At 37.3% G+C, this 12,367-nt stretch overlaps 1 protein-coding gene across 13 annotated transcripts in view; it reads right to left on the reverse strand.

Moving 5' to 3' along the window:
• The window catches only part of CEP128 (centrosomal protein 128), a 482,534-nt gene that overhangs the window by 11,321 nt on the left and 458,846 nt on the right, over positions 1-12,367 (reverse strand). For 10 of the 13 annotated variants that reach the window (NR_157142.2, XM_047431021.1, XM_047431022.1 and 7 more), the window contains one exon: positions 8,190-9,293. The exons of 2 other annotated variants lie outside the window; for them this stretch is intronic. Coding sequence is in view for 10 of the 11 variants with exons in the window: in XM_047431021.1 (XP_047286977.1) it covers positions 9,190-9,293 (104 nt within the window). In the remaining variant the exon portion in view is untranslated. Of the gene's footprint in view, positions 1-8,189; positions 9,294-12,367 lie in introns of those variants that run through there. One more of the 13 variants, XM_011536491.3, reaches the window with a different exon arrangement.

Here is a 12,367-nt window from a genome sequence, read left to right on the forward strand (position 1 = left end):
AAAAACAAACAACCCCATCAAAAAGTGGGTGAAGGATATGAACAGACACTTCTCAAAAGAAGACATTTATGCAGCCAAGAAACACATGAAAAAGTGGCCATGATCACTGGCCATCAGAGAATTGCAAATCAAAACCACAATGAGATACCATCTCACACCAGTTAGAATGGTGATCATTAAAAAGTCAGGAAACAACAGGTGCTGAAGAGGATGTGGAGAAATAGGAACACTTTTACACTGTTGGTGGGACTGTAAACTAGTTCAACCATTGTGGAAGTCAGTGTGGTGATTCCTCAGGGATCTAGAACTAGAAATACGGTTTGACCCAGCCATCCCATTACTGGGTATATACCCAAAGGATTATAAACCATGTTGCTATAAAGACACATGCACACGTATGTTTATTGCGGCACTATTCAAAATAGCAAAGACTTGGAACCAATCCAAATGTCCAACAATGATAGTCTGGATTAAGAAAATGTGGCACATACACACCATGGAATACTATGCAGCCATAAAAAATGATGAGTTCATGTCCTTTGTAGGGACATGGATGAAACTGGAAACCATCATTCTCAGCAAACTATCACAAGGACAAAAAACCAAACACCACATGTTCTCACTCATAGGTGGGAATTGAACAATGAGAACACATGGACACAGGAAGGGGAACATCACACTCCAGGGACTGTTGTGGGTTGGGGGGAGGGGGGAGGGAAAGCATTAGGAGATATACCTAATGCTAAATGACGAGTTAATGGGTGCAGCACACCAACCTGGCACATGTATACATATGTAACAAACCTGCACATTGTGCACATGTACCCTAAAACTTAAAGTATAATAATAAAAAAAAAGAGAGAGAGAAGATGCAAATAAAACACCAAGCAAAACAAGAGGGAAAGAATATTTTCCCCTAGTAAAAGTAAACTTTCAAACCTAGCTGAAATAAACATATGGTTAAATATTGTAAAAGCTAAAAAAAAAAAAAAAAAAAAAAGTCACACACCAAGTGTCTGTGGTCTAATAGTGTAAGACATTATTGATAATTGCAAGAATTGCATTACGAAAAGGATAATAACACAGAGCCCCTTCTAACTGGCACACACCCTTCTGAACACTCTCTATGGGTTAACTCTAATGAGCACTCTGAGGTAGGTAATATTATAATTTCTTTTTTCCTGATGAGGAGATTAAGCAGCAAGGTAAAAAAGTCTCTAAAGGTAGAAGCTGGACTCAACCCCAGCAGACTCCCCCAGAGTCTGGGATCTTCATACCCTATTGCCTCAGTATCATGATTTGGCTCAATTTGCTGCTCTAAAGGAATTGGTGCTAGCTTTCATTAAAATTCAAGAATACCACCCACATGTGGCCTCTTCGAATGTGACTGAGGAGAAAGTGAATCAGCCAGATAAGAAGCTGCTCTCTCGTCTCCTTAAAGCATCAGAGTAGGATGTGACCAACAATCAGAGCGGGGTGTGACATCTCCAGTGGAAGTGGAAAAAGACAATTGTTTAGGAGCATTTACCACACTTACCACCTCCTGACCAGGGTATCTTGTAGGGATTCAGTATGTATTTCTTTGTATCTGACATTTGACATAAAAGGTTTTATCACCAAAAAAAAAAAAAAAAAAGAAACACCTTCTCTGAGTATGACGGAGTGAATTATTTAGATTGTCAGATATCAAGAGGAGTTCTTGAAAATATTTAGACATTTTAGAATAGGAAAATTCTGGGTAGGTTTTCATTTAGTCCATTCCTAAACAATAAGGGGGAGGGGCATCAACTTGATTTCAAACAAATATTTCTTATTATCAATTATATTTAAGGGGGGTACCACTGTAAGATAAAAGGCCAAGATGAATCATATGTGGCTATCAGTTATCAGTCTTTCAGGGACAACAAGATGGAAAGGTAGAAAAAATCCCTGATCTCGATGTCGACATTGAGGTAAAGCTGGAAGAGATTGAAATGTCAAGGAATCATCAAATTAAAATCTCCCTTCATATGACAATGTCAAAATATGGAAATGTTACTCTGAAACACAGTGGTTGACTGTGAGCCACTGGTATAGAGAAGAAAAAATGAAATTGCATGTGAAATGTTAATGTGGAATCAATGCCCCAAATCAGGTTGCTCTGAAGTTCCTGGGAGTGAGAGAAAACAGAATTACAACTTGACTCTAAAGACATTTGCAACTTTTATAATCAAATACTACTTCTGTCCTTCAAGCCAAACAGAAGAACTATACTATAGGCCCTGATTTAATTGGATGTCTTGATGATGATCCTGATGAATGGGCAGAGTCCTGGCATAGTCTGTTAGAAGGAGGAGGTGGGAAGTAACCTTTAGTAGTTAATCAAGCATCTTTGGAAATGGCTTTAAGACCTCCACTTGGGTGAGCCTCAGGACTGAATCACAGCTCGGATACCTGGGAGAACACATGATATTGGAAACCAAGTTAAAAAAAAATACTCTAGTACTTCACCTGGAAAATAGCCACTTTCATATTTTTGTTTTGGGATAGGCACTAAAACTCAGAGAAGGCTATTATAAAATGAATGTCAAGGCAGGGTTCTTGAATTTGACCATTGATCACAATCATCTGGAGGACTTGTTGTAACACAGATCGTTGGCGCCATCACCAAAGTTTCTGAATGGATAGGTCTGGGGATAGCTAGAGAATATGTAATTCTAACAAGCACCCAGATAATACTGCTGCTGCAGGTTTTGAGATCACCCTTTGTGAACCATTGCTTTCAGGAATCGTTGAACAAAAGGATACGTATCTTCCTCACAAAACTATGATTTACCCTCAGTGGAATCTAATCCATGAGTTTACATGCATTTAAAATTAAGAAATGAGCAATGACCACCACTGTTAATTTGGAACAGTCAAACTAACCTCACAAAAGACTTCTCCAGTGGAAAAAAATGGGAAACTCTTTCCACGGTACACACTGGCTTTATTGGCTGTGGTCTTGGTCAAAGCACAGAATGAACCTTGGCCAGCAGCATGAGGTCTCTCAAGCTGCAGCTGTTGGGCGGAGGCTGCTCTGCCAGTGACTCTGGGCAGGAAGTGCCTCGTTAGAACTGTTGCATCTATTTTACTCAGGCCAGAGGGGGGGAAAAAGAAAGAAAGAAAAAGTCCCTAGGTTTCTCCAAACCTCTTTTAATGCCACCGTGTTAGATGGCTTTGCTACCCATCACTGTTTCACTTCTGGTAACTAACAGCTTGGGGTTCATTATGATGGGAAGTTTCAAATATGCTAAGTATTATAAATCAAGCCTGTATCTTCACTCACAGTGGAATTAATGACAGCATAAATAAAATGAAAATCCAAAATGACAGACAAGCACAGGGCACCCCGGCTGAAAAACATCAGAAAGCCGATCACTCTGCACCCAGACCCAAACTGCTAGCCAGCAGTCTATAAAGAACATGAAGGATTACTGCAACTTTCATCAGAAATGTGACTTTATAGTGAACATCAAGTTCAACAGGACTTCTCACAATGCTTCTTTCCAGGACCCTGCATCACATAAAGGATGAAGTGCTACCACAGTTTTTTCCTTCCAGTAAACAGTTTAAAATGTGTGTTATTAAAGGCAACCCAGCTTCCTCTGTGTTCATATCATTTTACAGAACTCCTGCCATCCTTCATTCCCTTATCCAGCTAAGTGCTGAGCAACAATGGACAAACAAAATCTAAACTAGCATAACCACTACCCTAGGGATAACACTGAATAAGAGTTATGCAGTATGATCTGATAATAGCTGGCTTCAAGAGCTAAGAAGAAAAGGGGGAAAAAAGCTTGTAAAGGGGATATATTTGAAATTGAAATTTTAAAACAGATGTGCAACTGGACACACATTTTGGGAACTGCTCTTTTGGCTATAAGGTGATGAAGGTGATATGAATAGGTTCTCTGATATATGAAGTACATATAAATACTGTATTAAAAATAGCTGTGTATTATCACACAAGGATGAAGAATAATGATCTCATTTTACCAAGAGAAGCCTTTCACACCTGGTTAATAGACCAGGTCACACCTTAAGAAAAATAACAAAAGTGTTTCATGTATTAATCTCACTAACTCCGCTTGCAACTATCCTGTTATCTTAAAATACATGCACAGGACAAGTGAGCACGACTCTAGCCCACAGGCTGGCCCTAATAAAGGACAGAAAGTTGCTTCTAAAGATCACTGAGGAGAGGACTGGATACCAGAGAAGGATATCAAAGAGAGAGAGACTGGGAGAGATGAAATATTTCCAATAGAAATATAGTATCTCAAGGACAAAGAGATGTACTGTTTCGAAGTACAAATTTTCACATTATTGGTGAAGTGTCTTGTACTTTTGAAAGCCATTTGAATGCTTGGTGGCTTCAAATGATTCACAAGTACACCAGACTCTCAATTTAAAAATTTATAAGAAAAAAACAAAAGGAAACTGTGTAATTTAATGGAAAACCTCATATTATCAAAATTAAAGTTGGCATTTTTTTAAGCAAGTATGATTTTAAGAAAATATTAAATCATTATATAAAGAAGATTGTAAGCTAGTGACTAAGGAACATTTATCCTACTTTCCCTCAGAATATTTTTTTACTTTTAGATTGTAACATCTGAATTGTTGGTAGTTTAGTATCCATTAGTTTTCTTTTAAAAATATATATATATTGCTTCAAGCCAGTATTCTGATCTTTATTTCCAATTAAGTATACAGCTAAGATGACACAGAGCTCCAATATCTAAGGATAAATTGTAACTTTAATTTTATTTAAGTAATGCCAGTCAAACTGCTTCACTAGAAGAATAAAAAATGAGAGGGCGACAAGTTGTGGGGTCCTATGGGGCTACAAAAGATAGACTTTGCAGGACAGTCTAGCATATGCCTGTTTGAGAAAAAGAGAGCATTCGTCCAGAGAATGGCAATTGGCAATTGTGTAACTTCAGTTTCCTGAAACATTGCAAGTTATCCTTGTAAGTACAGGTAATAAATATTGCAAGGCTCTGTTTTGACTACAGTAGCATTTCCCACCCCCAACATTCTCATTTATGTGCTCAAAGACATTAGGTTCTACATTGTAAAAGCTGGAGGCCATCAGATGATATATTGTTTCAAACATCTTCCTGAAAGGAAGCTAACATGTAGCTATGTTTAGAAATCCACTATATTCCTGTAGAGAGCAAGGTCAAGTTCACATCCACAATCATCACAGGGCTTTGCACCCACGTTAGAATACAGCTATGTTAGAGAAGAAAAGATGCCCAACCACAGAAGTATCCCTAGGGTTTTAGCCATAAGAATGGCCAAAGACATATGCAATATAAATCATTTCCTAATTGGCTGCCCCTGAAAAGAAATGCAGGGGCTACAAACCCTAGACTCGGCCCTTACAGTGTGGGTCGAACACTTACTAGACTTCAGCGGTCAACAATAGGGGCTATCCTGGTAAAACACTAAGGGTGACTTGTGCTGGGCTTGAATTTAGGTAGGATATGGTCATAGGCATAGCTATAGCAGGAGAAGCCAATAGGGGCAGATGAGGGCCAGATGAGGTTAGAACTAGAAGGTGCGGCTGGTTTCACCAAAGAGCAGATTGGTTTACTTTGTTACTAATCAAAAGCTACGGTGACTTTTCTGAAATTTGCTTGGGGGCTTGGAATCTAAAGTTCTGCTTTTCCATGTAAGCATTTCTTCCAGCCTTAAATTAGATGTGTCGTGTTTTGTAAGGAAATGAAACTAAATGGAATCTTTCGTGGTTTAAATTTCTTTTGTCAAATAGGGATAAGTTGATATGTTTCTATTGCTAAACATTTGAGAACTTAAAAGCTGAAAGATGGAACTATTTTCATATCAAATTTTGGTGCATGAAATGCCTTTATATACAAACTTTCCAAAATTTCCTTTCCAGCTAAGGTTCATAATTTAGTTTTGATCCAAGAAAACCAGATGCTTTCGTGAGAACAGCTTCCTCATTTGAAGGCCATGAAAATCACAAATTTTCTGTTTTGTTTTAAATTGAGAGAAAACACTGGAACAGTTTGTCTGGGGAGGGGGTGTAAGACTCTTGGAAAATTACTCAAAGATCATTCACATTCTTGGCTACCATAGGATGTGTAGTTGCATTTAGAGTAAGAACAAATCCTGAGTAAAACAATTTGAGGTATTTATCTCTTCCTAAAAAAAGAGTTTGCTAAGTAAATGTGCCATCTCCTTATATGTAAGAATTTGGTCCCATTTTAAACACAATGTGTTATCTAACTACAAAATTCAATACAGATTAGAGAAAATGTTAACAACTACTAAATGGCTCTACATGTACTTTGCATATCACTGAACTGAGACTCAAAATGAAAAATGCATTTGCCATACTTGAAAGGAGAAAAATGAAGAAAAGTAGGTTCATTTTCTTAGTTAAGTAGGTAGGCATTTTTTATACATGTAAACTTTAAATGCTGTATGCATACTGTTTTATTAAGCTATAGATTTTAGCTCTTTATTAGTAAAAATAGGTAGGTAAACTATAACAATAAGAAAAGTTAGTGGTTCTGGGAAACTGGGTGCATAAAACGTTACATAACCAACTGGTTTTCAACCTTCCAGTCAGACACTAGTCAAAGAAATAATATGACCTTAGCCAATGGGAAAAACATTGAGCCAGATTTCTCCCAGCTGTGTTTCTCCCCCTGTAGCCTTCAGCAACTTCAACGGAAGTTTAGTGTGTTTAGGGAGAAAGATGGCCAGAAGAATCAAAATTATTAAACCAAAAAGGTCAACCTTCAAATTAAGTATTGGACCAGGCTTACTGCAGAATAAAGTTTATCCTTCCCAATGTCCCAGTGCTACAAGCAATATGGTGGACCAGCTACTATTCAAACAGGGCTGATATCACATGTAATTGAGGCTACCCTGCCAAAGGGGTGAGTAAAGGAAAGAAGTTGTTGGCTTTAAAATGCACAAATCAAGCTATTAATGTTTCCTTAGCATTCTTTTTGATTTCCAACTTAAGGGTAGGGTAACTGCAAGATAGGAAAAATCCTCAGAGGAGACAGGTCCCTGGATTTAATTCTATATAAACAGGAGGCCAAGGAATTTTGACAAAATTGTTGTTCACAAAAAGTTGACTTTGCCTTTGAAGTTCTAGTGTGTTCCATATTTAAGTCAGACACCTTCATTCATCCAACAGTAGCACAGAGCATTCAATAACATGATATAATGGCTTTTTTTTTTAGATTTAAAAAGTTACTTCATAAGATTCCTCTCCAGTCTGTTATAAAATCACTGGCTACTATGTTTTCAAGCATTTCTCAAGTAAATAATTTGAGTTACTTTACATTTTCAGGTCTAATTGGTTTGGTGCAATTTTTTTTAAATGACCATAGATGCACTAATAATGGTTTAGATCAGTTCTTATTGAAGAGAATGGATGCATGAAGGCCCTACTAATACATAAAAGAAAAAGTTATTTAACTAACATTTATCCATAGGATTTAAATAAAACCTGTTGATTTTCCCTCATATTTTCTTCTCTGCTGGTTATTTAGGACGAAGGAGATAAAATACTTTGATGTTGGTCAAACCATCAATGGAAATACATTCTCAATACTTTAAATATTACCATAGAGTGATATAGTTTATATGGATCACCAGGACTGTGAGTCACACCACACGGGATACTCCCAATATATCCTCATAATGCTCATTAATACATTACATTGCTCTGAGAATTCCTGAAGTTAGACAGAAGAAAACCAAATCTGTTGTCTAACCCCAAATTTCTCCAGCTAGCCTGAACAAATCACTCCTGTTTTCATGTAATTCCTGATGCCAAACAAACTTTGCGACATGCATACCTGTTTTTGTATCTCATTTTTTCCTCCTAGCACAATGACTGGCATATAGTAAGCACTCGATAAAAGATTTTTGAAATGCATACATGATAAAAATGCATAGCTATACTCTCAGGTTACATAGCTTGTGTTACGCAATTTTTGGATATCTTCATGTTCTAAAGGAAGAGTTGCATTCAGGTTCATGGAAAGAGGCTGCCATTTTTTTCTTCAGTACCATCAAATATGGTAAGTTAGGACAACATACCTTGAGCGGAAGCATCTTTATGAAATGTGAGAACTCTTAATGAGCAAGTGTACTTTAACAAACACAAAATGTAATGCATATTACAAAGGTATTGCTTTATTGCCCTTGTCTATGCAGAATCCATGACCCAATAGGATTCAGTTCCTGAAAGTTTACTATTACTTAGCATTTAATATAAATCCTTCTCCACTAGGAGATCAGCGTGTAAAGGGAATACGTTCTTAGACACTTTGATGAAAAAAGTTGGGATGGTAGAAGCAGATAGGACCAAATTATACAAGATTATATATAAATCTCATGGACAAAGGAGTTTGGTGCTATGATTTTAGTCACAGTAAACCAAAGACGGTCCAGGATATGACTGAAGTGATCACAGTAGGATATTTGGCCACAAAAAGACAAATAAATAAATTGTGCTATGAATTCTTTACAGTGCTCTACAGTTCAGATATCATTTATGAATTCTTTATTGCTATTAAAAATGGATGATTGGAAATAATTTTCAGCTACGGTATGCAGTTGTGGACTGTTAAGATGATAGATATAAAAGTCCTGAGCATTTATAAAGTGGACTGTCTAATGTTATATATGCACATCTCCACATGTTATAACACATGATAATTTATTAGGGAGAAAATTTTTCAAAAAATCAGTTGTATATAAATGCTCCCTGAATCTAAAGTGCTGGCAACTTTTGCCTCAAGGGAAACTCATTTTCCTTCTTTTTAGCCAGTAATTTTTAAAAGGCCTCAATTAGAAATCCAAATTTTGGTTGGGAAAATGTGACTGACCACACTTGAAAAAGGAAAATACAAAGTGAAAAAATATCATTCTTTCTGTGCTAGTATAAGTTGCAAATAAATTAGCTGCACATCATTCATGATCTGATATTATTTGGATTGGTTTACCATTCACAAGGACCAACAGTATTGTCACTTTTGTCAATGTTTGGCAATACCAAAGAGCCAAAGCTGCAGGTATGTCTGTTAGATAATCTGGGCCAAATTGCTGTAAGAATAGAGATGTTATTATTTGTAACATACTCATGTAAAATAACAAATTACATTTGCTTTTTTAGCTCCCATATTCCTCTTTTTTGGGTTGTGAACTTGTTCCATTCATTGTGGCATCTTCCTTGTTTGAAGCTGAATCTGGAGCAACAGTTCTTTTGGTAAATGCTGGCAAGGTAAGAAGAAAAAGAAAAATAAACCTAGGTGAATATAAAACTGGCCTAAAAAATTAATTTTGCAGAAGGTAGTTAATGTATCATGGTATTTGATCGAGTTTTCTATAATTAAACTTCACATGGACTAACAGACCTCCAAGCTAAGAATAAATACACTCAATTTATGACATTTAAAAAAAACACGAGAATTAAACTTTTTATTTTATTTGAAGAATACCTGAGAGTAAAAAATGTGTGCTTCGTCAGGATACAATGATATAAACCACACCGGTGTGCACGTGCACACGCACACACACTTGCACACTCGCAAAGAATTTTAGAGGCAGAAATCTTAAGGGCTCCTTTTTATGGAATCCTCTTTATTACAACTTCTAGTCTATTGAAAGTAGACCTGGAGTTTGTGTTTACTGTTCTTTTACTATCTCCTACTCCTCGTCTGAGCTATAGATGCCTATATCCAACTGTCTGTGTGAAATCTTCTCTCCTTATCTCTACTCTCTGATGCCTGCTCATTCCTTACTCTTCTCCAACTTGAAAAATGATATACCCGTCTGCCCAGTTTCTCAAACCGTGGTTCCTCTCTTCCTTTGTCCTGTCTGATCCATCCATTCAGTTTAAGAGCGAGCTCTAATGACTCTCCCTATCAATTTCACCTGAGTCCTGATTCACACCATCCCCATTACTCTCATCAGCCCCCAAGTCACCATTGTCTCCCTTTCTGTTTTCTTCTTGCTCCCTTACGATCCTTTCTCCACACCACAACCACAGTTACCTTTCGGAAAAGTCAATCAAATTACGTCATTCTCCTGCATGACTCCCTCATCCTGCCCTTAATGGTCGCCCAGTGAACTCAGAATAAAATCCACACATCTGACTGTGGCTGCACCCTCTCACTCACTCGCTCAGTAGCCCGTATCTCTAGGAGACCATGGCCCTTTCTTCTCTGGAGCTTTTGTACTTTTTGCCCCTACTATCAGGAAGATGCTTCCCATCCAATTTCAACTCAGCTGCTGCTTCTTGCCATTCAGGTTTCAGCTGTAACCTCCTCAGGGAGGCAGATCCTGATCACCAATCTAAAGGAGTGCTCCTGTTCCTGGTACCTTCTATCATTTCACCTTTATAGCACCAATCACCATTTTAAATGATTTGTTTACTTGCTCGCTACTTGTTTCTCCATGACATCACCTTGCCTGTCCTGTTCACTGCTGTATACTCCAGAACTGAACACTGGACATGGTACACAGCCTCCTAGTAAATACTGGTTGAACAACTGAATATAGGTGAGGGATTTTAAGATGACAGCCAACTGGGGATTTTCTAGCTGGTTTCTGGAGCGCCTCTAGAGAGTACCTTGTCAACTTGCAAAAACCAGAATTCAATTATTTAAAAATATCCGGCGTTTAACCGATCAGTAAAAAATACCTGAACCACTGTCACATAAAATAAATCTGTAATCACATAAAATAAACCTGTAAAATGAGAGAGACAGAGAGACTGCACTTTCATAGAATTAAATCCTTTAATGGACAAGAAACAATTTTATTGCCTTTATCAGTGTCCTAGTGTTTTCATTGCCATTAATCTTTGGCATTTTACTCTATAAGGCTGAGGACAGGTTACATATGAAGCATCTTTTCACAGTTAGCCGGGTAGACCTTGAAGTATAACACAGAAGTGAAAATAGTGTGCTATTCTTGCTGTGGATAAATTATTTTTCACCCCACGGACTTAAACTACCATTAGAGGCACCTCAAAACACAAAGTGAGAATACTAACTTTTCTTTTTATAGCAATGTAAACTGAGGTAAGAAAGTGAAATAGTATTTTTAAGCATCTTTCATTAATCTGCTTTTCTAAGAATATCAAATTATCTGTAAGATTCACTTTCAACTCCTATACTAATCCTTAGATAACATATTTTCCCCATGAAGAATAACAATTCCTTCCTTTTGGGCTTATTTATTTTAACAAACATTATGTTTTCAAACAGTTTTAGATTTACAGGAAATTTACAATCTGCATTTATTTTTAAAATCTGGTTTGGAGACACCAACTCCACAAAGATGAAACATTTTAGTCTTAAAAAACTAGAGATTTCTAGAAGTCATCAGATTACTATGGACCTCAGTGAAATCTGGTCTGGTCCCAGTCCTGGGATGTGATGGCTGTATCCTGGAGTTGTGTTCCTTTAGTCTAAAAGGAGCTATACATAGTGACTAGTGGTCAGTTGCCACTTTTGAAAAGCAAAAATGACAGTTTCAAAAGCTGACATTATGAGTCCCTTACTAAGCCCCCACTGTCTACAGGCTGAAGGTAATGGAATCCAAGTCTTCTAAAAGAGTGTCCTGACTCACGGCCATAACTTCCAGCAGGCCAGGATAAATTTGGTAGTGATCATGCCTTTAAATAATGGATTTCTGTGTTCCTATTTCCAATGGCAATATAAACTTACAATTTATACATTTCTTCCCTTCTTCCTGGCAGAAGGAATCTACCTTTTCTTGAATTGACCTGAACTACACAAAGCTGACATAAATTACTTCTTAAAACAAACTTTCATTAATGCTGGATCACTTCAGAGACCACAAATTATGCAGTATTTTCCCATTTCCTTTGTTTTTTCCACGGTCAATGATTCTATGCTTTAGTTTGGTCACAGTTTGACAGGGCATCTAAGTCAGCAGAATGAATGCCTTAGCATCTACAGCTTCAACGAAAGGGCCTCACTCAGTACAAATTCTGACTAGAGTAAGGAGCTGACTGTTCTGTGGGCCCAGAAACTCATGTCTGCCTAAGGACCTATGACTATCCACTCCCTATATCTCTATACAGATCTAAACTGCTCCAAACTCCAAACCCCAGCTTTCATGTTCCACCTGAGACTTAACAAAAAAATTAGACATTTACTAGTCAGACATTAAAGCTGGGGTTTTCTCAGTAACACTTGTCTTTGTAAGAATCATTTTTAGCCAGTGTATATACACATATCAAATAATACCAAAGGGTTACATAGAAAAACAGGAGTTTCTTGTCCTACCTCTCTGAATTCCACAATCCCACTCCCCA

Source organism: Homo sapiens, chromosome 14, assembly GCF_000001405.40.
Source record: "Homo sapiens chromosome 14, GRCh38.p14 Primary Assembly".
Lineage (NCBI taxonomy): Eukaryota > Metazoa > Chordata > Mammalia > Primates > Hominidae > Homo > Homo sapiens.